This window comes from Homo sapiens, chromosome 15, assembly GCF_000001405.40.
Source record: "Homo sapiens chromosome 15, GRCh38.p14 Primary Assembly".
In the NCBI taxonomy this organism is placed as follows: Eukaryota; Metazoa; Chordata; class Mammalia; order Primates; family Hominidae; genus Homo; species Homo sapiens.
In genome coordinates this window covers 36,792,545-36,819,345 of record NC_000015.10, presented here as the reverse complement: position 1 = coordinate 36,819,345, position 26,801 = coordinate 36,792,545, and the positions used below count along the sequence as shown (strand labels likewise).

Here is a 26,801-nt window from a genome sequence, read left to right as displayed (position 1 = left end):
TTTACAAATGAAGAAACTGAAGCTTTTAGAGAGTTTGGTTATATCTAAGTGCACAGGCGGGGATTCCAGACTCTCGTCAAAGCTTGTGTCTTAGCCACTAGGCTCTACTGCCTACAGTTCTAGAATACTATATACTGGTCATTCCTGGTGATGATCAGTAGATGTTCATGAATTACTGTTGGTTTAAATATTACCTTATCCTTACAGGAAGAGAAGATGGTAAACATAATATCTGTGGATTTTTTTTCCAGTAGAAGAAAAGTCAATATAAAAATTGACCAAAGGAAAACATTGTCTTCAGTCCTTCCAAATTCATTCTTAGTGGCGCATCCTTAGGCTCATGGCAATGTGTAGAAAATGACTGTCATCAAACGCTAAGGATTTTAGGATAGTAAAGTACTGACAAAATGAAAACTGTTTCTGTCAAAATGCTTAGCTGATTTCCACCATGAAGAGAACTGGGCAGGACCAAAACAGTAAGGTTCAGAATGTTCATTAAAAATATACCAGGACCCTTTACTTTGTAAATAGTCAACATAACTTATGGGATTGGAAATTCCTTGGAGTAAAATATTTACCCTATGAAGGAAAGGACAGTGGACAGGAAGTTAGGGGGTGTAGATTCTGGTCCTGCCTCCTATTAGCTATGTGACCCTGGACAAGTCACCTGCCCTCTCCAGATTTCAATGTTCGCATCTGTAAACTGAAGCCTCTGGCGCCTTCCAATTCTCAAATTCTGAGTCGATGAGGCGGATCCTTTGGAGCAAGCGCCGGAGGTCCCTTTCCCAGAATGCTCTGCGCCGTGAAGAAGCGACTCCCGGGTACTGGGGGCATTTTGTGTTGGCTGGAGCTGGAGTAACAAGATGGCGTCGTCGGCGGAGTGACAGGGGTCCCTCTGGGCCGGAGCCGACGGCAGTGGTGGCAGCGGTACCGCTCCCCAGCTCACTGCGCCCCTTTTCCAGCCCGGACGTCGCCGCGAAAGCGAGGCAGCGGCGGCTGCCCAGAACAGGTGGCCCAGCCTGGTAACCGCTAGAAGCCCTTCACAAACTGCGGCCTGGCAGGCAACCAACCAAAAAACAAACAAAGAATCCTGACCGAGCAGCGGGCATCAAGTTCCCTTCGCCGGCATCTGGGCCCTGGACGCCGGGAAAGGCCTCCGTGTTCCGCTTCCTGCCGCCTTCCACGGTAGGCTTGGCCCAGCCTCCATCTTCGTCTCTCAGGACGGCTAGCAGCAGAATTCATTGTCGGAAGGAAATATAAACTGCTTTGGAAGATCTGGTGTAGCTCCTTCGGAGACATCTGTCTGGCGATCAGCATCACCAACGGTGAAGAAGTGGTAGTGAAGCCAGAATCTCAGGGCCAGGCATCCCCAGTTGCTGTACAAGAGCAGGCTTTACAAGATGCTTCAAGGTGGGGTTGGCATCCCCCACATACGGTGGTGTGGTCAGGAAGAAGACTATAATGTACTAGTCATGGATTTTTCTGGGACCTAGCCTCGAAGACCAATTTCTGTTCAAGAAGGTTCACAATGAAAACTGTACTTATATTAGCTGACCAGATGATCAGTAGAATTGAACATGTGCATACAAAGAATTTTATACACAGAGCCATTAAACCAGGTAACTTCCTAATGGGTATTGGGCGTCACTGTAGTAAGTTATTCCGTATTGATTTTGGTTTGGCCAAAACGTACGGAGACAACAGGACAAGGCAACACATACCATACAGAGAAGATAAAAACCTCACTGGCACTGCCCTGTATGCTAGCCATGCACATCTTAGTATTGAGCAGAGTCGCCGGGATGACATGGAATCGTTAGAATATGTTTTGATGTATTTTAATAGAACCAGCCAACCAGCCTGCCATGGCAAGGGCTAAAGGCTGCAGCAGAGAAACAAAAATATGAAAAGATTAGTGAAAAGAAGATGTCTACTCCTGTTTTTTGTAAGGGGTTTGCTGCAGAATTTGCCATATACTTAAACCCTTGTCGTGGGCTACACTTAGAGAAAGCCCCAGATTACATGTATCTGACGCAGCTATTCTGCATTCTTTTCAGGACCCTGATCCATCAATATGACTACACATTTGATTGGACAAAGTTAAAGCAGAAAGCAGCACAGCAGGCAGCCTCTTCTAGTGGGAGGGGCAGCAGGCCCAAACCCCAACAGGTAAGCAACCTGACAAAACCAAGGGTAACATGAAAGGTTTCTAAGCATGAATTGAGGAACAGAAGCAGCAGAGCAGATGATCAGAGCAGCATTTGTTTCTCCCCAAATCTAGAAATTTTAGTTCATGTGTACATTAGCCAGTGGTCATGGACAGCCATTTACTTGGTGTAAAGAACTTAATTTTAGTATAAACTGACTCTGGGTAGCATTGGTGATGCTGTATCCTGAGCTGTGGCTACTGTAATTGTGAATATTAACTGAGACAGTGAAACATGGTGGCCGGGTTTCTAGTGCATTTTTTTTCAAGTGAAAAAGTTTACTAAATGGTTGACACACACAAATTGGTGGAGAAATTATGCATATGCCAATTTTCTGTTAAAACCTTTTGTTTTGAACTATACTGCTTTGAGATCTCATCTCGGAAGAATGTCGTGAACCGTCTTCAGCCAGTTTTGATGGTTATAAATGCTCACAATTGTGCATTCTTAGGGTTTTTCCATCTCTTGGGTTTGCAAGTTGTTCACGTAAAACGTTCTTAAAGTTGTTGGCTTGTTGTTTGCAAACCAGCTGGTAGGGTAGCAACCAAAGATTCCAATGTTGGAGCACATGAAAGACTGCCTGCTTACTTGTGCTAGAAATAATAGCATCTAAAGTGAAGACTTAAGAAAAACTTAGTGACTACTAGATTATACTTAGGACTCTGCATTAACTTTATAATGTTCTTAGTGTTTTTCTTAAAAGCTTGTCACAGAAATTTAGTTAACATCTTACAACTGAACATGTATGTATGTTGCTTAGATAAATATTATCACTGTAAACATCTATATGATTGGGGATCTTGTTTTTATTTTGAAATGGTAGCTTTTCTGTTTTTAAGTTCATTAAAAACTAAAAACTGTTTCTGTAGGAAGATGAGTTTTTTTTAAACAAAAAAAAATGCCTTGCTGACTCCCTATTAAATAAAATCTCCCAATTTTTTGATAAAATTGAGTCTGTGAGTCAAACTCACCTTCGCTAATGGCTCAAAGATGCAATTAGTATCTTTCAGGGAATTGTCAAGAAATAAACTGAAAATGTAATTCGATTTTCACATGAGTTTCTTGGCTCATTCTATGCACCCATTTTGCCATTTTTAACTCATTTGTCATTGGGAAATATTTTCAAGGATAATGGGGAAGTAAGAAAGACGAAAGTAATTTACCAAAAGACTGAGTTTTACATCATTATGCAATGTGCTCATGGCCACTTTGCCATCTTTCATTGTTCTGCTTTTCTATTATCCTCTGTTAGGTTGCACTGCTATTTTTTCATTTATTGAAAATTTTATTTTTTAAAAATTGTAACTCTGAAACCAAGATGGATTCTTCTATTCAAATTAGTACAAAATATAATACTTTTAGATTTTTACCTAATTTTCCATGTGCAATGATTGTCATTATTTTAGCTGCCAGAATTAATGAACTGATACAATTAAAAGGTTCTGGCAAAAGTATTTATAGCTTAATGGTAAATATATTAACAAAATTGTCTTACCATGTAAAGCATACAATCTTCTCTGTCCTTGAAAATATTTTACACTTCTTTTTGGGAACATATTTTCAAACCACTATTATATACAATCACTACCTTATAAAAATGCACTGTACTAAGCAGAAAATTGATACCCAGATGATATAAAGGCCATGAAAGATAAAGGAGGCAGAGTGTTTAACTCACCTTGAATTCCTAGCCTGGTTTGAGTGGGAGAAAAAAAAAAACCACCCCAACCCCGCAAAAAAAAGAAAAAAAAAAAAAAGAAAAAAAATCTCCAAAGCTAGAAATGTGTAAAATTTACTAATATAATCTGCGAATTTCAAGGTCTTTGTGCAGGGCCAAAATATACAGGCCTAACGTTTTTCATTAATAATATAATTGAACTTGTAGACATTTACTGAAAATAATAATTATCTGCGCCCATCTAGTGTTTATCTTGAGGCTTAAAATCATATTTCTATGATTTCAATGACATATTTAGCTTATCTGTATTACTAGACAGACCTTAGCCATGGACAGACACTTTGCTTGATGTTATAGAACTATCAGAACAAGTTATTGCTTGTTTTATTACTTAGGCCGATGAACAGGTATGAATTCTGTTTCAAATGCTTAGAATTTATTTATACTTGCACTGAACATGAATGGCCCAGAGCAGGAATGGAAAATATGTGGCATCCCTGTGATCACTGCCTACTCTAAGAACTAGATCAAAGCCTTAGCTGCTAAGCTGAACTTGGCCTTGGAATTGCTTAATAGCAGTGAATGCAGCCACCATAAGCAAATAGAAAGCTACTTGCTGTCCATAGTCTAGGGTTAAAATATCTTATTAAAAACCTCATAGATTTCCCTCTTTCCTTCATGTGATTTGCTTTTCTAAAATTTCCAAATATTTTGTGTTGTTTTCATTTTGAAGAGGTAATGATTTATTTTTCTTCAAGAAGAGGATCTTTTGTTGCATTAAAAAAATTCCCCACAGCACCTCACATACTTCTAATACACATTAGGGACTCAATAAATATCTGTGTCTTAAATAGTTTTAATGCTGGAAATATAAGACAGAATTATCACCTGCAACCAAAGACCTGGTCTTAGTGATATCTGTACTGGGGGTCTGTTCTGTCCAGAAGCTCATGGAAGGAATAACAAAGTAAAGAGCCCCAACAAATTAAGTCCTGGGAAACTGGCAGAAAAAGAAGAAATGTGGAAGTTCCAGTTCCTTTTGTGCTACAAGTTTCCAAATTATGAGGAAATATGCCAAATGCGTTTGGCTTTCAAATAATAATATACTCTGAATTAATGAGTAACAAGGAAACACCCACTGAGCGGTTCATGGGCAGTATCTCTCCAAAGGTCAGATCCTATTGGCAAATGACCAAATAACCCTTCTCTCTTGAGCCAGCCAACACTTCTATGGCCAGGAAGCACTTTGCCATCAACTCAGCATTATAAAAGGGAGCAATTAAAAGTATCATTTGCAGTTAATCTAATAACTCCATTGAATATTCCAAAATCTGCTTGTGAAACACAGTTGATTTGGGACCCTGCCGTGATTTGAGGAGAAAGTTTTTTTTTTTTAATGGAAATATAAAGATAAGCCATTTCTTTTAAAAGAGAAATAAAGATTTTTAATATTCTCATTTAGCAACAGTGCATAAACAATAATGTATTAAGATTAACTTTAAGGCAAATGCAACAAAAAGTTATGTAAATTCCCCCCTTAAAACTAAGTGTGCATCCTAAAACACTCTTGTTGATGAATTTGATTTATTTCACATTTTGGGGAGTTTCTAAATTAATTAATTCTTTAACATCAACACATGATGATTTTCTCTGATTTTTGGTAAATACACTCATTTTTCAGATGAAGAAAATGAGAAAGATAAAGGTTCTAATTATTTGCTAATGCGAGTGATAACATATTTAATAAAACCGTGTCATTCATTTACTCATTTAACATTTATTGAATACCTGCTCTGTCTGCACCAGAATTCTGTTAGGCATTAGGGACTAAAGTGAACAAAGTTAGTGTAGTTTCTACTTTCATGGAGCTTACAGTCTAGTCGGAAATCTTGCATTAAACAAGTACAGAAATCACAACTGAGATAAAACAAAAGCAATCAAATAAAGGGTGCTTATAACTTTGTTTACTTAACAAAACTATGGTTTCCTGCAGAGGTGGTTTTATCTTTTTATCTAAATTTTGATTTGTCCTATAGAAGAAATTCAATTAAAAATGTAAAATACAGAAGGTTTACTATAGATCCACTGAATTGTTATTCCTGAATGTTATTTCTGAATTAGTGTTTAATGTTAAAATGACAAGGGTTTTTTTTTTTTTTTTTTGAAAAAAAAAGTGCTAGTTATTGTAGAAATACCTTTAACCAAGGCAGTTTCCAGGGGAATTAATGACCACTTTAGGTTAATGGTCATTGGATTCATGTTCAGCCCTCAATTAAACTCTGAACTTCAATTGTTATTACTTAATTGACTTGGTTATATTTCATGTCAGCATTTCAATATGACCTTCCTTTTAAAAAGTAAAAATTACCCTGACATAATACCATGAGTCTTTAGTTGAGCCTGACATTGTTGCTGCAGCCCACAGTATCTTTATATATGGTTGAGCCTAGAATTTGCTTAGCTTTGCTATCACTAGTGTACTTCCCATTATCCTTGCCTATAAAATGAGACAGCTTAGGATAAATCCAAGTGATGAGGGAAAAGGGATGAAAAAATAAATATATCTGTTGCCATGATTATTATTAAGATGCCAAATAAATCCACTGAGATCCTCACCACTTTATCCTAATTGCAGGGAGTTAGACAGTTTTAACGAATACCTCGAGTATCACAATTAAATACTATCAAGGTATGCTTATTTTAAAATGTTCCTATATTATCTTTTCCTTACAAGTGACTCCAAATATTCAGCTGTTCTTGTTAAGGAGATGAAAACTTAAATCTCCTTTACCTATACATTAAACAACAAGAACAAGTTGGATTTATTTAAACAATGAGTTGGATTTTATATAAAGTGAGTATGACACCCAGATCGAACTTTGCTATACTAAGTGAAACAAATTAAGGCACCAAATGAGCATTTCCCTTCCCCTGTACTGTGGAAATGTTTTAAAAGTCTTTTTGAAGTACTTTGATCAGGCTTTGAAATCATTTTAGTGGATTACTATTGTATGAAAACTGTAATTTATAGCGCTTGACCTAAGCAGCTCTTTGTCTCACAGCCATATTCAAAACAATAGCAGGAAAGTGAAAAACAGAAGGCGAACCCAAGTTGTTCAGGTTATTATTTAATTCATAATTCCATCTTCCTTATTTAATCTTTGGAATCCAAGCATGTTCTTAATAAAACAGGTTCAGATCATGTTTACTAAATGTAGGAAGGTTAGTTTAGAGTAACAAGATTAAATGATCCAAACACATGACCCTTCCATAACCCACGAGTGACTTTACACAGACAGGTTCAGATAGACGCTTCCCATAAATGGTGACATTGCAGGCAAACTTCTATTGTTTGCCTTTTAGTTTCCTCTCAAGTTAAGCTTGCTTTGTTCCTTAACCCTAATCAAGAATGTGCCTATTGAGATTTTCTCCTCTCATCTTGTCACAAAATAGTTATACTTTGAGACAACTTGCTCCCATCAGATCACATGAAAATGGCAAGCTACCCCCAAGATGAATGAGCTAGGAGTGATTCGCTAAATCATACAGACATTTTGCTATTTTAATCAGCTGAACACCACCACTCAGGCTGAAAGTAGCTATATAACCTTACTTTTTTTTTCTCTTTTTGCTCCTTTTGCCAAATCATTTACTGAAGGCATGAACTTCAAGCCATATTTAACCCTGTAAAATCTTATTATCTTAGTTAAAAGTTTTACGATCCTTCTGGTGCCACATATGCACTTGAGTATTTGGGCATGTGGAGGGTGCTTAAGTTGTGTTTCTCCCCAAAGAGGTTAGGCCAATTGCTCCCCACTCCCCAACCAGGTGTATGCATCAGGACATATTTTGGTCCTGGGATCCTGATCTTTTAGAGAGAAAAAGAGCCCAAGAGTAATGAGAAAATGCAGGGTACATGTCCATGTGGAGGGAAACTGGCAAAGGCCAACGCAGGGGAAGATGACATGGAAAAAGTGAAAAGTGAAGTGAGAAAGCATATGGAAGCAGTAAGGATTTATTGCAATTGAGATACCAGGTCTCTAGATGGGAACAGTTAAAAAGAGGAGACATCTAAGGCATCTTGGTTCCAAAGAGAAAAGAAAGCAATGGGTGTAGCTCCCCAGTGAGAAGCAAGTGAATTAACTGTTCACTTCAGCATTAATTAGTGTGGCCCACCAGGGACCATTTAGGTAGATTACCTCATCAGGGCTCTAAGCAGTCCCCTGGCGGCCTGAGTGAGTTAATGCACCCCCTCAAGACCAACAATTTATCATCTTTTCCAGGGGGAATCAAGCCTTGCAGATAATGAACAGGTACACACACCTACAGTTACAAGAAAATTATTTCCCCTGGAGGTCCAGCGTTCTACTTTAGACCCCTGAGACTTCCCTTTTATTTTAGATTTTAGGAGTGTTGTAAAGAGCTGACGTATGCTTCACTAGAAGGCAAAAGAAAAAAAGAGGATATGCAACTGTTTATGGTTTGTTTCTTTTTTGAGGGGGTACAGATGTGAGGTGGGAAGGAGTCTATGCAGTCGCCTTACAGATCAGTACCGGATCAGCTTTGCTTTGAGTTGATCTGTTTCCAGACTTCAAATGGTCGCCTATGTGTTTGTGAGGGCAGATGCTTGGCAAGTCTGCATATGCCAGGGAGAACGTCATTCAGTTTTACGTTTTACACACGCTCCTGCTTTCTGGCTTTGCATAATTCATTAGCATAGTGTGCAGAATGCACCATAAAACAAGATTTGGCTTTAATGTTAATGTTCTAATGATGACAGCAATAAAAATAAGTTGTCATTCCGTGTCTACTTTCTGGGGCTGATGTTTATATTGTCTAAACTAAAAAAACCAGCAAGCAGACAATGCATAGAGATGGAACACAGACAAGTATTTTTAACAGAAAAAGAAACAAACCAAGGAGACTTTAAGCTTCCAGTTGGGAACATTACTCTCTTCTCTCCCATACAGCTCCAATTCAAAAGTAGTATAATTATCACATTAGTTTTTATGTGTGAAAAACTTACTTTTGACTAATTTGTAACCTTATTGTAGTGTGTACAGTTTACTGTTGGGTTCTTTCTCACTTTTAAGGGCCAGATTTTAAAGCCTCATTCATAAAGAGGAGGTAGTGCCTTTGCTAGGAACACCAATACCTTCTCACAACACATTATGTCAGGGCAGCAGGTAAAAGAATAAATACAAAACGCAAGTACCTTTTTTATTTTTTAATTTATTTGTTCACGTTCATCATAATAAATTTGTTTAATGTAAAATAAACAAATCCTTGACAAGGGTTTAACAGGATTTTCAACATCTGTGCAGATAAATGTAATTTATTCCTAAAGAAAAAACAGTTTAGAACATGCCAGGAAACCTGCTTTTAACATTTTTGTATAAAGTGTGTGTGTGTGTGTGTGTGTGTATCCAGGCAATACAGTAGTGGTTTCAAATCATTCTATTTCACTCAGAAGCCTGCATGATGAATTTTATACTGAAACAGAAGTTTGCCTGACCCTTCTTTAGCATTTCATCTTCTGCCTCTCTCTTTTGATTTAATGCACCCCACTCAGAGTTAAAATCCACACATGTTGGGACCAGGTTTGTGTCCTTCAAAAGGAAAAGCAGCAGGCATATTTTTACAAACCTTCTTTGGTAGAAAATAAACAAAGTATAAATGACATATTTAGTCTTTTGAAAAAAATCAAGCAATGTATATAAGTTAAAGCTGTCTGCAAAAATTACATTGTTGTTATTAGTATTTCCCATATCATCTATTCAACATTATAAAAGTTGTTATGTCAGCATGGCAGGGTGGCGGGGGCAAATATTTTACTAAATACGTTTTGGGTACAGATTAATATTCAACTTCCCAAAAGATAGGTTTATTATTAACTTACTGATGTTTCGCTTTAGACTGAAATCTGATTTGCAGTACATAAAAGTACACAAAAGTGAATAAATTAAAGTGAACAAATAGAAAAATCTCCTTTATTTTGCTTATTTAAAAATTGCTCCAGGTTTATTTCTGGCACACTCAGTTCATACAAAGCTAAACATTTCTAATGCTGAACTTACTCGAGTGTTTTATAATTACATGGTATAAAATGCATATACTAAGCAGTATACAGAATGTGCCTTTAAAAAACTCGACTCATAAAAATACTAGCTCACGTACATACTGACAACTAGCCATGTTTAAAAATAAACTCTCCTCAATGTTGGGTTGTCGCCTCTCGGCCCCCAATCTAAAGGAGTGTGGTTTCCAGGCACAATGGAACTAATACTTTCAAATAAGATAAATCTAAAATATGTGGTGTTCAAATAACATTATTAAAAGAGGAAATTCTCATCAAGTGTATTTTTGCACTTGGCTTACTGTCACAGAAGTCAGGAAGCCGTAAAGATTGAATATAGCAAACACACAGCATAGGCAGGCTGCCATCAAGGTCTTCTGGAGCTCTGCAGGTGAGTACAAAGGTGGCTTTGGACTTTGTGGCTTCAGCTTTCCTAGGTTTGCGCTAGATTATTCCACGATGGTAATGCAATGCTGGGTCTCTGTGAGTGCACATGAAGAGAAAGGGAGAGGGAGAGACAGTGAACGGAGGCTTAGGGAAAAAAAAATAAGAGGGTGATTCGGTAACTGGGAGGAGAATTGAAAAATCACACCTTTCAGTCTTCACATTTTTTCTTTTGTTCAGCATACAAGGATAAACCATCCGGAAGAAAGAAAGATTATGACTATCTATAAACTAATTGTTTGACAGAGACAGAAATGCTGATAATGAGTGGGTTGTGTCTGTAGTTCTTGGCTGTTCACATCAGCAAGGGATGAAGGAAAACAGAAACTCTTGATATGTTTGTCTAAAGAGGTAGTGGTGTGACTACGGGCAGCAAGAGTTCAGCTGAAGTTCAGGGCAGATGTTGCCAGGATCTTACAGTGCAGGAAAGTAAAATTGCTTCCGGATTCACCTTTTCCTCCCAGCTTCTCTTCCAGGATCTTCAGGGTCAAGCTATGCTGTGGCATAAGGTGACAATGTTCGTGGGGAAACAGGCTTTGAGCAGGATGCCCCTTTCCCGGTTGCAGTCCAGCTCCTGGATAAATCCATACCAATAGATGACTAAGCCTGGCCCAAATCTGTAAAAACACCAGAAAATAACACACACACATGGTATCAACAGAGCTCTTGAAAAAAGTCACCTTGGGGCACTGATAAGATGATTAAATGACAGGACTGCACAAAATTTTTGTTTTGGTTGCTACCATTGTGACTGAAAATAGCCAAACTTATACCAAAGAGTTCACATAACACACATACTACCTTCTCGGATGGATGTGTTCCCTTTCTTTCCAGAAACCTGAAGTATTTCAGATATGGAAACTCTGAATCTTACCTTTCAGTAAGGTGTTATGAGCTTGGGCTGATGTGACTACCTAGCTGATGGAGGACAGATTCACAGTGCAAACAGGAATGAGCTGGGGAATGCCAGCCTTGGGATTTAAGTCTAACATTTAATGGTACTATTTAAAAAATTAAACTTGCCTAATAGCAACTAAGAAAAATAAAAGAATGTTTGAAAACAGAATTTAAAAAAATGCAACAACTTATGGTCCTCTTCTGGCTATACTGTTCTACTTATGCACCCATTGGGCTGGAAGTACCTCCTGTCATCCATATGACACACTGGGTCCCTTTACTCTCTGCATTACAACTTCTTTAAGTGTGGACACAGCATAAAGTTTGGTCATTGGTGCTTACGGAAATGAGGAATAAGGTCATATAGGCTTGTGACAAAGTATAGATCGCTACGGGCTTAATAAAACCTCAGCATTTCTAAGTTGTGCCCTCTGAATTATCTGCAATTTTGTTAGCAGTGACTGATCCCCGCCAGGCAGACTCAGGAAGTGGCCCTATGGACTACTTCACCCATCAGGAAGTTGAGACCTTTAGGCTGGGTTCATAAAGATGTAATCACTATCAATCACTGCACACAGAGAGATGTTTTGCACATCAGTTTCACGTTTTTCCTACCGAGGGCACTTAATTAAAGGGCAGCACTACTTTTGGTGTAGTGTTGCAGGAATTTTACAGTGAAATAATAAATTATGAATGTTGGGTTAGTAAAAGCATGTCTAAAAACAGAACTGCTTTCTGTATTCTAACATTACAGCAGGCTGAACCATGCTAGGCCAAAAAGCTTTTGCCTTCCATGATTTATTATATGCTGTAGTGTACTTGCCAAAACTAACAATACAGGATGGGCTGCGAGATACTGTATGCACAGGGACAAGTTCAATTGGATGTCACGGCCTGGTTTATTTGGGGATCCACATTAGTGGGGTAGCCAAGTTGTATTCAAGATTATTTAAAACTTTGGGATTCCCCTCTGTGCAGGTACAGAACCATGAGATGGCAGCTCATCACTTGATCTTGTTCTAGAAGATGTAGGAACTGGGTATAATTAGAAGCCTTGGAGCACCAGGCCCACTGAGATTTATCAGCTGCAGATGTTCTCTTCTTCCTCAGCATCCCCAAAGAAGAGATTCCTTTGGGGTCAGTAGAATTAGGCTACCTGTGCACAGGTGTGTGGGTCCCCAGGCTCAAATGCATACAAGACGAAGCTCACACCTGCAGAAGAACTTGCTTCCATTTAACCGAGGGTTTCTTAGTAACTTTTAATCACAAACACTTGTCTGTAATTGGAACATAAACCATTGGTACCTTTATTTTACAAAGAGCTCTATGATTAGTGTCAAATGATCTCAGATTTGTCAAAACAAGTCTGGCAAGAACAGAAAGATTTGTGATTCTGTGGACCATGTCTGAGAAGCCACAAACCTTCCCATCAGTGAAGCACCCCTGAGTCACGGCCTTGACAGATCTAACATTAAGCTCAACACATTCTTCCATTTTATTATACAGCCATTCTGGAGACCATGATGTTCTTCAGAAAGGTGCTAATATTTTCACAAAGGAAGAAAAAAACTGTGATCTAACAAGTCACAGAGAAGAACAAAAGAATATATGGAGGTCATAAAAAACAAGCCCAGTATTTTAAAGATTTAATAAACAAAAACACATATCACCAGCACTGAGCAAGTGAGAGCAGCCTGCACTTTCTTTGAACAGCTAAATCATAAGCCAAAGGACACGAAGCATGACAGCTCTTTACGAAAATGGCATTTTCTAGGCAGAAAAGCCAGGCTGGGGAACACCTCAGTGCTCAAGAAAATGGACTTGTTTCACTTGTGAGGCAACAGATATTCCTGCAACTCAAAAAGGTTTTGCAAGATTGTGAACCTGAACATTTCATGCAGTGGTTCACAACCAGGATTCCCTAAAGATACCAACACAGATCTATGAACATTTTGAGTAGGATTCATTAATAAGACTCTACTGTCTACCTAAGTTTTGTGTTTCTTATGGAACTATGTTTAGGTTAGGTAACATTACCTCTGTCAATGTAGCTCAAAACCTCTGATTGACAATATGTCTCTAATTAATTAAGAATGAGGAAACACAATGTCCCTTTGTAAATAGAGATTGATACGCTTTCAAATTATGTGGTCTTTGGGTGACAAAAGCAGTAAGGACTTTAGAGGGTGACAAGTTTGGAAATTTAATGGCAGAACAAGATCTGGCCTTATTCCCAGCACCTACTTTAGTGCATTTCTGAGCCTTCTTCAACAGCTCAGGATCCAGAGATTATCAGATGCTGACGAGATAATCTTTCAGCAACCTACCTGTTTATGAAGAGGCTGACCACATTAAGCAACTTTATATAATCAATTTCTGGGTTATCTGAAGTAACAGGAGGGGAAGTTTTGGTTGCTAATTTGAAATATCAAGCAATCAAAAATGGTAGAAGAGGTGTAAAATAGGACCCTAGAAAATTTTTATTTAGGTCAAATGCAGACTTTTGGGTTGAACCATTTCCTCTTTTTGATGCCTATTCTTATTTACTGTGGCACCACTAGACAAAAATGAGATCACTGGGAAGGCAAATACAACCTTTGTGACCAATAAAAATCAAAGAGACTTTGTTAACAACATTGAAAAGAAAAGAGAGTCCTTGGGTCTGAGGAGATATGCACAGCAGAGGTTGGTCTGCTACTGAGATTGCAGCCCTCCCTGCCAGCTGGGAGACCCTCAGGAATGGGTGTCCACGGACATCTGAATTGATTCTGGAAACACTTTTTAAAGTTGACTATAATTTTATGGTTGCTATACTCATGGTCAAGTAATAAGATCCAAGACCCCCAATGGATTTTAAAGACTCCTGGGAAGCAGCGACTAGAATGTGAATGACGTTTGAATAAGTAATTTTGCTTGCAAATAAAATATCACCAAATTAGCAAAAACAACAAATACGCCTTGAAAAAATGGGAGGTGAAAGCCAAGAGCCATCACAGACCATGAAGGCAAGAAAGATGAGGTTTTTCATAAGTAATGACCCCTTATAAATATGTTCAAAATGTGTTTCTCGGCTGGGGACAGTGACTCACACCTGTAATCCCAGCACTTTGGGAGGCTGAGGCAGGCCAATCACTTGAGGTCAGGAGTTTGAGACCAGCCTGGCCAACATGGTGAAACCCCGTCTCCACTAAAGATATAAAAAAATTAGCCAGGCGTGGTGGTGCTCGCCTGTAGTCCTAGCTACTCTAGAGGCTGTGGTGGGAGAATCTCTTGAACCCAGGAGACGGAGGTTGCAGTGAGCTGAGACTGCACTACTGCACTCCAGCCTGGGTGACAGAGCAAGACTCTGAAAAAAAAAAAAAAAAAAAAGTGATTCTCTGGTTTCATTTCATTTTAGGGTATTTAGAGAAATTCAATCAGAGACGATGGAACTAAAGCTGGCCCTTCTGTGCATACCTGTTTCCTAGTGAGTATCCCTCTGTTTCACCATTTGTCTGTTATATTGGGACCCTGTTGAGGGTAAAGACCAGGTTTTATTTGTATTCATGACCTCCATGCCTAACACAGTGCCTGGTACATGAAAGATACCCTCAAGGACAAGATGGGCAATACAGGGTTAGCACTAAGATGATCAGACAGCTTTGCATTGGTTATTGAATCAGTGCGAGTCTAGAGACAGGGGTGCAGGCAGGGGTCAGCCATTGCCTCGGCATGGCAATTTTATTAATGACCAGAGTGAGCACACTAGTGGCATACTTACAGGTTATAGTGAAAATAATATAGTTACAACAATGTTCATTATTAACACTTTCACCCCACTTACTATGTGCCCAACACTGTTCTAAGCACTTTAATATATATAGAAGCACTTTATATATATCGAACCACTTAATTTGTATGCCAACTCCATGAGGTTGGTACAATTATTATCCCTGTTCTACAAGTAAAAAAACCAAGGCATAGAACAATTAAGTAGATTGCCTAAGGTCTCACAGCTAAAAAGTGGAGGAACCAGTTTTAGAACCAAGGCAGTTTGTGATGCACTCACTATGAGGTAGTGATCGGTTTACTAAACAGGGTGATAGAATGTTAGACTTTAACCAGAAAAAGAGAGTCAATGTCCTTTGCAATGGTTAAGCCACACCTAGGGCATTTTGGAGAGTTCTGGTGTCATATTTTAAGGGCATGTCTCCAGTTTGAAAGTCAACCAAAGGAGAATCCTAGGATATTTGAGGAATGGTTAGAATAAGAGTATGTCTGATTTAGAAATGAACAGTCAAGGTTCACTAACACACTCATCATGTTCTGATTTTGAGAGTGCTCTTATGGAGGAAGGATTTGATTCGTGCTGTAGCTCTCAAGTGCAGACTTAGGACAATGCTTGAAAGTAGCCAAGAATTAGATTTTGATTCCACACAAATAAAATTTTTTGTATAACTGAAACTTTCAAAAACATGGAGTGAGCGGCCTTGCAAAATAGTGACATCAGTAGATCTGTTAAATCAAGGCTGGGCTTTCATTAATTTTAAAAAATTGAACCAATGCATACAAATTGGGAATGTTTACACAAAATCCTGCATATTTAGCTTTTTTTGAGAAACTAATCAATCTGGCAACAAGCAACTGAAGATAAGTAACAGCTGCCCCCTTCAGATATAACCTAGGTTCGCGGGACTGCCACAGTCCCCACTGTTCTCTGTCACTTTCTGATGCCGAGGATCAGTGCCAGGTATACCAACTGAGCTTCTTAGCTCCTAACTTGCACTATACAGCAATACTCCTCCTTGCTGCATATCTAGGATGCTAAGGTTACATAAAATAAAGAATTCTCCATATTTTCTCCAGTTCTATTGTTTTGGTAAACTTGGTTATTGGGTTCCTGAAGCTGCATATTTGAAGGAGTTGGTTACAGGGAGAACACTTTGTCAGTCAAGGTGAATTCCTGCTGGCAAGCAGTGAAGAGAGACATAAAAATGCCCCAACTGTGAGAGTCCCTGGCTGTTTGGTGTTGGGGCTAGCAGGCTTTGTCGATCTCAACAGGTGTTGAGGACAGTGCAGGAAACACAAATGCTGCTTACATTTTGTTCAGTTTTAAAAAAGGCAGTGAAAGCTGTTAATGTATTTTTAAAAGATTATCACCAAGAATGTTTTAAAAATGGTACTTCAGTGAGTAAATTCTTAGTTTTGGAGAAAAATCTAGCTATCCTCAGATAAGCCCTGAGGATTCCAGATTGCGAATGTTGGACAGAATATGATATAAGTATCTTTCTGTTCAAGGTTTCCTGTAACTCTCTGAGAAACTCAGTGGTTCAGACAGAAAATTTGGCTCCCCAAATTCAGGAAGAACTTGCTTACTCTTTTTTTTTAAAGTATAAAACTAAATACTCCCCTTTCCTTGCCACGCCTCTAACACTATCCTATAATTCAGGAATTACTAGGATGAGGCATCTTTACTTATGGAGAATGGAGAAGATTATTAACTTCCTATTGTTATACTTTTCCTCAAGGCATCCTCTTCAGAGACTGTTGAAAAGAAAGGCAGATGAAGGAATTTAGAGGTTTCGAATCATACTATTAGATATCATCTTGCTAAATTAACCCCAATAACCCCTCGTTGGTTTCCTGAAGCCAGCTGAGCTTCTAGATCTCCACAGATTTCAGGGAGCCCTTGACCAATCATTATGTCTATAAAGATGCTAAGTACATATAAAATAATATAAGATCTCAATAATCAACAACAAAGAGGTAACTAATATTTACTGAGCAGGCAGTGTTTCAAGAACTTTTACATGTACAGACTAATTTGGTACTCACTGCCACCCTATGAGGAGGGCACTATGACTATCCTCATTTTACAGATGAAGAAACTGGGGCCCAAAAAGGGCCAGGTTTCGAACCCAAGCCGCCTGGCTCTATGGCTTACCCTTGTAACTACTATGCTTTACTGTCTCATTATACCTTGTGTTTATATAGCATTCTATAACAGTCATTTGACTCTGAAAAATATTTACTACACCTGGATAGGTGATAGGCAAGCAGGGGTCCAGAAGCAAGGCAACTGATCAAAACCCCAGTATATGAGTTGGGATCCACCTATCTACACAGGGAATAACTCTAAGTTTGATGTCAATAGTTTCACGCTAAAAAGTTTATCTGGCTACTTATTTCAATTTAAGTATCACCACATTTAGGAAGTAGATGGAAAAGCAACCCATAATTCTGGCAAAAGAAATGAAAATAATTACTTTTGAGGGAGCATATTTTAAACCTTTGACAAACAGGTGGAAGTAAGCTAGGGAATGAGAATTACAGAATCACTACATAAAGTTCAGAGAAGAGAAATGTCTCACGCTGTGAAGGGGTTCAGAAGTTATGGGGCAGAATCTAAACATGAGGGAAGAGGAGTAAATCCAGAACACTGCCACAGCTTGTTCATATAAATGGAAATAAACAGCTGGAATAAGTTATGAGGAAAACTGAGGGAAGCAACGGGTCTAAGTGAACGTATGAGGTAGAGATTTGTTTTCCCAGAAAAGAAGGTTCAGAACTTGTTAAACAGGGTGATACAGTATGCCCCAAAGGCCCCAGTTTTGCTCCTAAAATACCTCTAGTATACAGATGCATCTTATGTTTGTGCCATTAACTTGGCTTACCCATGTTTTCAGCTCTATGAGAAAACCACTACATATATTTTTTAAACTAGTATGCTTTTACATCTCTTTTGGTAATAAGACGGTGAAAGGTGTGGGATTTATGTACTATTACATAATTTGTCTCTCTACCTGTAATCACGGAAACTGCTGAAATTGACCTAATACTTTTCTTCCCAATGAGCTGAATTACCATAATTGCATAAACAAGGATTCTCAGTGCAGTAGAGTCCTACAATATAAATCTGCATCTAGTCAATGAAACAAACAATTCTCAATTGAAGAATGACAAGTAGACTACGGAATGATCTGATAATTTTAAGTTTCTTGTTCATGAGGGTCTTCATCAAACAATAAAAACATACAGAAACCTTCATTCCTAGCCCAAATTTTTTATTTCAATCATAGGGAAATAAACTCCTTCTCTAAAACAAGAACAGCAGAGAATCATATATATATATATATATATATATATATATATATACACACACACACACACACACACACACACACATATATACACACACACACACATATGTATAATCATAATCATATATATATTTCTTTTTCTCTTATTATGAGTTGCTGTGTGGGGTCTGTGCTATCTTCTGAGGATGTGTGCAGACATGTGGCTGTTGGAAGTCGATTGTTTCACCATCAAAAAAAGACTTGCATGTGGTTTTTATGAAGAGTGCGTTTTCAAACACATAGTTCACGATGAAGGAGAAACATAAAACATCTTGTAATTGTTTTAAAATAAACTCTTACACTGTTTATTTAGTTTTAATCTACGTGTTGTAGATTGGTTATGCACTTGTTAATCACTGTTGTATGTATATCCAGACAGAGTTGTAAATAACCTTTCAGTCCAAGTGAAATATGCTTGCACATGTTTATATGCAAAGTATGTGTATACTTATGCCTGTGTGTAAATACGTGTACAATAATAATAGATTAGTGATCATGTAATATAACATCATAAAGTTCTGGCACTATGGTCAATTTAATATACAATACAAATATTCTTTTTTCGTAGAAATGAAGTTAAAATATGATAACTTGGTTGTTTCATCTACTTTTTCTTACCTTGCCAGGTCTGTATTTGCAGACTGAAATGACCAAAGAAAGAGAACCTAGTTATGAGTATTCTCACTCAATCTATGCATGTTGGCTATGAAAAGTGCAACTTTATCTCTTTGAAACAACTTTCTATAATTTTGAAAATAAAAAAGTAAAAGCATATGATAAATACTGATTCACTTTGGGCCTTTATGCCACAAAGAAAATGTTATTTTGAACAAAAATTTAAATGTATATAAATATACAACCACAACACTCTGAAATTCTCCATGGTGATTATATACCTTGATATTTTCACATCCATGTTAAATTACCTGAAAAAGTAGTTAATTTCTACTTTGCTTTGTTCTATATTGGATATAGATAGATGCTATATTTATAATCTTTCTAGCCTGTTGTAAATCTTTTCTCAGAAGATTACAATAGAAAACAAAGGCAGAAGTGATTTTGTCTTTAATCTGTTGTCTTTACTCTCTGTTTTCTAGAAGAAATGTTTACTCCTGGATTGGGTCAGCCCCTCTGCATTTACCTATAAGAATCTACATACAAGCTTGTCTATCCATCCTGCATAGAGCACAAGTCACAGAAGAAAAGCTCCTCTCCATAAATTGCTTAACATAGTAATCAATATCTCTTCACATTTTCAGAGTAAACTATATCACTTGAATAAACAAAATGCCAAAGGGTTCACAGTAACAGACTAATTAGAGCAATGACAATGATTCTAGAAGTCTTCCTGGAAAAGGCAACTATTTAACTATGTTGTATTTATTCACATCAGCCCTTTAAACTTTCTCCATGATACATCCATTTTTGAGGGGAGGGAAAGGTGAGGTTAGGGGTCCCGAGAGACTTAGAGGGATGATGGGGTCAGAAGTATATTGAGATGATTTCACTGGGAAACGGGAGGATGAGTTTCAGGACAATAGCTGTGGTTCTGTTTCAAACAGGATGCATGGAGAAGACAGAACACCTTCTCAAATGGGAAGAGAGAGACAGCAAACATAGCAAAAGACATAGAAACCCTAAAAGTAACAAAGTACCCGAAGTTATGTTTACTTTGAAAACACTTACTTACTTAAGTACTAAAACGAGAGAACACTTCATGTGGACACTGGGTGCAAATCATGTCCATCGATCTGGAATTTATACCCCAGCCTTCTTCCAAAAGTTGGGGGTGTTTGTTTTAACAAAATTGGTCGTGTGAATTATTACATGTTTTCTCAGTTATTTCCCCAGGGAAACACGCCAAAGGCAAACCCATCATTTCAGCTGATTTAGTGTTTGATGCCAGAGAATTTATAATTGATATGACAACCATAATGGATAGTGATCATGGAGTTGGCAAGGCCTGGCTGACAGTGGTGCAGTCCATTTTGGTGTTTGCCAGTTAATCAACCATCAGACTTGCTCTGATGAATTTTGAGGTGATTTCTGAACTTTCCATTTCTAACTAACTTTCTGAATATTAGAAATTAGAACCACATTATAAAATGGAAAAGACTACATAAATCTTGCGTACCCAAAATATGTCTTTTTCAAGTAGCCCTTAATTATTCGCTAATGGAGGGAATGGAGTTTCTTTTTCCTTGGCATAGTTCTCAAAGGATCACAGGGTAACCCAGAGTTCGGTCAGATGTTTATCTCAAGGAACAAAGAGATTTATGGGTTTTGGATATATAAAAGTCTGCTTAAAATAAAAAATTATTGGAATTTCATCCTCGGCAAAGTCAAATAACTGAAGGATTAGGGCTGATACATGTTTGCCCTATAAATCTATCATTAACCAAATGTGACACAATGCTTTGGTATGTCAGATCCCAACTCACTCTAAATGGGCAGTTAAATTTTTCTCTTAGTCACAAGAAATATTTAATGATAAGGAAAATCTCTTTGGCTAGCCAACCTAGTCCCCAAAAGCAAAACATCCCAATTTTGCAGATTCATGAAGGCAAATGCCAGAAAGGGGAAAAAAATAAATTAGAAGTTAGAAATGTCTAGATCATTAGAAAAAATGATCAGATAAGGAAAAATGATTTTAAAAATGGGTCTTCAAAAATTATGGATAACCTGGCCTTGCAGTTATCAAACAAACACTTCTTTTAAAATGTAAGCTTCATGAGGGCAGCTTGTATTTCAGTGGCACATAGGAGTCAGCCAATACATATTTGTTGAGTGGATATATGAATACACAAATGAATATCACTCTACAGTCCCTTGCCCTAGAAGAAGAAGATGTCAGTGTTACTACTCATTTGGAAAATAATTTTTTTTTTTTTTTTTTTTTTGCTAATAACTCTCTACTATATAATGAAGGAAAGTCTTTTTTTTTTTGAGATGGAGTCTTGCTCTGTCACTCAGGCTGGAGTGCAGTGGTGTGATCTTGGCTCACTGCAACCTCCGCCTCCCAGGTTCAAATGATTCTCCTGCCTCAGTCTCCTGAGGAGCTGGGACTACAGGCATGCACCACCATGCCCAGCTAATTTTTGTATTTTTAGTAGAGACGGGGTTTCACCATGTTGGCAAGGCTCGTCTTGAACGCCTCACCTCAGGTGATCTGCCCGCCTCGGCCCCCCAAAGTGCTGGGATTACAGGCATGAGCCACCATGCCTGGCCACGGAAAGTCATTTTTAAAGGTAAGAAAATGAGCCTTAAAAATATGTCCAAGTTGTACACTTCTGAAGAGCGAATTGCAAGATTGCTGGGATTGCTGGTAGGAATCTATTCTGTCTAGGATATTAAGGGGGAGATGATGCTGTGGTTTAAAGAGTGGTAGAAACCAAGAGTACTAGTCCCTGTAAGTAACACTACTGATGGTTAAAGTGGTGGCTGCAAGGCTGTGAGCAGCAAGAATTGGCTGCTAGGAGGAAAGACTGCACTTGGGAGCCAATTGCTGCACACAGGTGGCTCTTGCTTCCTTTAAATACAATCAGTTTAGGTAGGCTTTTGTTTACAGTCGCTTTTATCTAGAAGATAAGGTTGTAAAAACATCAATCAAAATGAAGTACTACTGTTCCTGGCCATATCTCAGCAGGTTCATCTGTTTTATTTCTTCCTCCCTTTCCAAATACCTTAAGGTGTTTAAGATGAGTGAAGAGATAGCAAACTATTAAAGTGAACTGTATTTGTATATGACACATGGATTTGCACTCATTGAACCACAACTGCCATCTCTACAATGCCTATGTCATTCCTAGGTTCAGCAGGCATCTGTGTTCTTCACAGCTCTACTTTTCCATAACATACAAACTCTACAAAATGATCTTTGCACCATTTTCAATAGTGCTCCTTTAAGAAAATGAGAATCTTACAGTTTCTGTATGTCGGTTGTGCGGCTTTTAATGTATTTATACTCTGCCTTTTCTTCAAAGAGTCATGATAGCAAAATAGAAAATTAAGCTCAGCAAAAGGGAAATGCAAATATGTGAACTTCAAAGGTCAACTTTATAGTTAGAAATTTTAAGTCTGTAAAGATGGTACCTGATTATATTTTAAAGGCATAGCTTAATTAATGCTGGATCTGCAAGATGAAGTTCTGAGCCACAGACATTTCCAAACGAAGAGGGATGCTCTGTTTAGGGAGTTAAAAAGGCACACTGGTCCAGCTCCAGAGGATGGTTCCCGACAGGGCAACATCTCATGGGGATTTCAAGCCCCGATGTATGAACATCTGAGGTGAACAGAAGAGGCTTGACTGCATGAGCAGACAGATGCCTGGTAGGGGACTGGATGCCAGTGCTAGACAGGTCTGGGAGGCCATCCTGCACTCGATTCTGGTTGTGCTGAGGGTCTGTGTGGTGGAAAATATCTTACCTGTCATTCTTGAGGTTTTGTGAATCATTCTGCAGTTCTGGGCTTTGTAATTTTTTTCTATTTGGTTCCCTCCTAAGCACAACGAGAGTAAGGCATTCTAGTAAATGTAATGCCCCTGCAGCTAATCCATGACTGACTACTCCAGATTTATTTTCCTGGCATAGCCCCAAGATTTCTCTATCTATAAAGTGAATAGAATAGCATTTGTGCCCTGAAGTTCAAGGTGGATTTGAGAATAAACTTCATAACAACTGAATCTGTATATGTTCATTGTTGCCTGATGCCAAAAACCCCACCCAACAGTAGAATCTAATAAAGAAATTTTCTGAACTCTTCTCCACTAAATCCCCACCACAGATCTTTCCATGAGTAGACTAGATCTCTGTCCAGAGATCTGGAAATGAACTCAGTAGGAAAAAGAAAACTGTTATCTGTAAAGTACTAACCAAAGGCAATACAAGGTCATACTTTACCCAGGATGAAAATTTGTAACGCAGAACTGAGGGGTAGGAAACGTGAGTAAACTAGGTCAGAAAATTTCCTAAATTTATAATTAGATAAGATGTTTCTTTGAGCTAGAGAGCAGGAAGAACCATTTCACATGGTCATTTCTGCCTTGAAAAATAAGAGCTAGTTCAGGTGCAGAGGTTCATTCCTGTAATCCCACCATTTTAGGAGGCTGAGATGGGAAGATTGCTTGGGCCCAGGAGTTCGAGGTTGCAGTGAGCTATGACTGCCCCACTGCATTCCAGCCTGGGCAACAGAGTGAGACTATATAAATAAAAATAATAAATAATAATAAAAATAAATAAAAACAAGAGCTGATCAGCTTCATGAGACCAGGAGAAACTCTACTTTAAAAGAGACTAGACAGAAAATCCTGGTGATGTCAGTGACCTAAATGTTATTTAAATATAAGTTTCTGTTGTTAATAACATGACACTGCTGTGCCTGTTTGAACATTTAAGTCTAGTTTACACAACAAAGAAGGGCTGCATACACCAATTTCAGGGCAATGAAGTTTCACTGTACCATCTTGAATACATTTCCTATTAGACCAAAAACTTAAAACATTTTTATTACTTTTATTGGTATATAAAATTTTGTGTATTTATAGGGTACATGTGATAGAATGTGTAATGATCCAGATAATTTAGGGTATCCATTACCTCAAATAATTATCATTTTGATGTGTTAGGAACACTTTAGGTTTTCTCTTCTAGCTATTTTGAAATACACAGTACACTTTTGTTAACTACAGTCACCCTACTCTGCTATTGAACATTAGAACTTACTCCTCTATCTGACTGTATGTTTGTATCCATTAACCAACCTCTTTTCATCCACCCACCCTCTTAAACTCACACTCTTCCCGGCCTTGGATAGCTGTCACTCTACTCTTTACCCCCATGAGATCAACTTTTGAAGCCCCGATATATGAACGAAAACATGTGATATTTGTTATTCTGTGCCTGGCTTATTTCACTTAACATAATAACCTCCAGTTCCATCCATGTTGTTGCAAATGACATGGCTTTATTCTTTTTTTATGGCCAAATAGTATTCCATTGTGTATACATACACATTTTCTTCATTCATTCATCCACTGATGGACACTTAGGTTGATTCTATATCTTTGTTATTGTGAATAGTGCTGCATAGAGGTGCAGATATCTTTTTGATATGCTGATTTTAGACTAGGAGCATTTTGAAATCTTGCCAAGTTTAATAGTTCATCTTTGTTTTAATATTTGCTTTTTAAAAAGAGAAAGAACAAAGCAACCCAAATGTCCACTGATAGATGTATGAATGGATAAAGAAATGTAATATACATGTACAATGGAATATTACACAGTCTTAAAAAAGAGGAAAATCCTGTCACATGCTACAACATGATTGAACCCCAAGGATATAAATTATGCTAAATGGAATAAGCCAGTCATAAACGGACAAATACTGTATGCTTTCACTCAAATAAAGTATCTAAAGGGGTCAAAATCATAAAAAGAGGAAGTAGAAAGGTAGCTGCCAAGGGTAGGAGAAAGAAGAAATTAGTGTTTAATGAGTATGGGTTTGTTTTGCGAGATAAAAGTTCTAGAGATCTGTTGCACAAAAATGTAAACATGCTTAAGACTGTACACTTAAAAATAGTTATGATGTCACACCTGTAATCCCAGCACTTTGGGAGGCTGAGGTGGGTAGATCACGAAGTCAGGAGATCGAGACCATCCTGGCTAACACAGTGAAACCCGTCTCTACTAAAAATACAAAAAAATTAGCCAGGCGTGGTGGCGGGCGCCTGTAGTCCCAGCTACTCGGGAGGCTGAGGCAGGAGAATGGAGTGAACCCGGGAGGCGGAGCTTGCAGTGAGCCGAGATCGCATCACTGCACTCCAGCCTGGGTGACAGAGCAAGACTCCATCTCAAAAAAAAAAAAAAATAGTTATGATGGCATATTTAATATTATGTGGGGTTTTTTTTTTCACCACAGTAAGAAAATAATGAAAAAGCAACAACAGAAAATAGAAGAGCATTTTTAACTAATAAAGTCTCTGGGAAGAAGATAATGTAAACAGATAACTAGCGAAACAGATGATGGTTACTGTTGGGCACGGCACTTGCAAAAAGAACACGGAAAAGCATTGGGACACTGATGCTGGCCTTTAAGGCAGAGTGGGGATCACACAATGGGGTTTTAGGAAGCCCAGTGGCCAGCGGCAATTTCTAAAGCTGCCCAAACTCTTTGTTTTCTCGCGATTAATGAAGCCGCTTTTTATCAGACAATTGCAGGAAATAAATACCAAGTTAAGGAAACAAAAACTTTGCCTTGTAAAGAAACAGTTGAAGGATCATGCCTGAGTACAGAAAACTGCAGGGCTGGATCCAAAGGGCAGGATAAGCTTTAGTGAACTCTGGTTCTATTCTTCAAGTGATGAGGAGAGGAATGCTTCACAGTTCTTAAAATACTTCCACAAAGTGTACAGTAATTTATCTAATCCCCCAAAAATGCATTATTCTGATAGGACAGCTGAAGAAATTGAGGCTCTCTGAGGTCAAGTGACTTGCTTAAGATAACACGGGAGGGACTGACAGCATGGACCTGGCTCTACTTACTTCTAGTATAGTGCTCTTGTCAGCTTGTAATGCTCTCTCCCCCTCACCCTCACTGCAGAATAGGGCCAGGAATACCTTCTGCTTCCCTGAAAAGGAGGCCATGTTTTGGTGAGGCAAAGATAACATGAACCCAGCTCCTGTCTTTCAGGGACTCTCAGTAGTAAGGGAGACAAGCAGGTAAAAAGATGAGTGTATGAAAGAAACAGAAAGGTTGTTAAGAGAGCTATGCAGAAGGCCCTGGGGTAGCTCAGAGAAGGAAGCACTTAACTCTTACCTGGCAAGGCTCTGAGCAGAGGGGAGGTGTCTCTGGGTTCAGTCTTGAAGTCAAAGTTCACCGAGTGGGTAAGAGGGGGGAGATACTTCAAGGAAGAGCCACATGCAGATCGAGTGGAGAGAAAGATCAGGGGGACTTTCAGGACGGTGCAGGAAAGTTCAGGAGAAAGAAAGATCATGGCCATGCACGACACAGCTTAAAGGTGGAGTGGGAATGGGGCTGATGAGGACCGGAGGGAAGGGCACGGTATAGCAGACCAAGGTGCTTGGTGGGCCCGATGGGATGCTACACTGATAGAAAGCCCAATCCTATCAAGTACAAAGGAGGCCTTCGCCTGAGGGTGATCCTCTTTCTTGAAACCCAAATACTCTGGGCCATGTTTCTGCATGGAATCTGTGAGCTAAATATTTACTTTGTGCTGGACCAAAGTATCTACTGCAGCTCACTTATTTGGGGATAAACAGATTCAAGAAAAGCGTACATTAAAACAAATCCACCCTCCCCCCCAGCCCCACCTCATTTCCACTTCATACAGAAAAAAGACTGTCATTCAAAAAAATTGAAAACTA

General features: G+C 38.5%; 1 protein-coding gene and 1 pseudogene across 14 annotated transcripts in view; one reads left to right on the top strand and one right to left on the bottom strand.

Annotated features, from left to right (window-relative positions):
- The first annotated feature begins 839 nt into the window (after positions 1-839).
- On the top strand, positions 840-20,246 carry CSNK1A1P1 (casein kinase 1 alpha 1 pseudogene 1; annotated as a pseudogene). The gene is made up of 4 exons (NR_027320.1): positions 840-1,619; positions 2,058-2,169; positions 14,700-14,768; positions 19,518-20,246. The product of NR_027320.1 is annotated as a casein kinase 1 alpha 1 pseudogene 1 (transcript).
- The window catches only part of CDIN1 (CDAN1 interacting nuclease 1), a 230,619-nt gene continuing 212,919 nt past the window's right edge, over positions 9,102-26,801 (bottom strand). For 10 of the 13 annotated variants that reach the window (XM_047433174.1, NM_001321761.2, NM_001321759.2 and 7 more), the window contains one exon: positions 9,102-11,022. In XM_047433174.1, coding sequence (XP_047289130.1) covers positions 10,893-11,022 — 130 coding nt within the window. In that variant the 3' untranslated portion in view covers positions 9,102-10,892. The remainder of the gene's footprint in view (positions 11,023-26,801) is intronic. The other 3 variants (NM_001321757.2, NM_001130010.3, XM_017022677.2) reach the window with 1 other exon arrangement.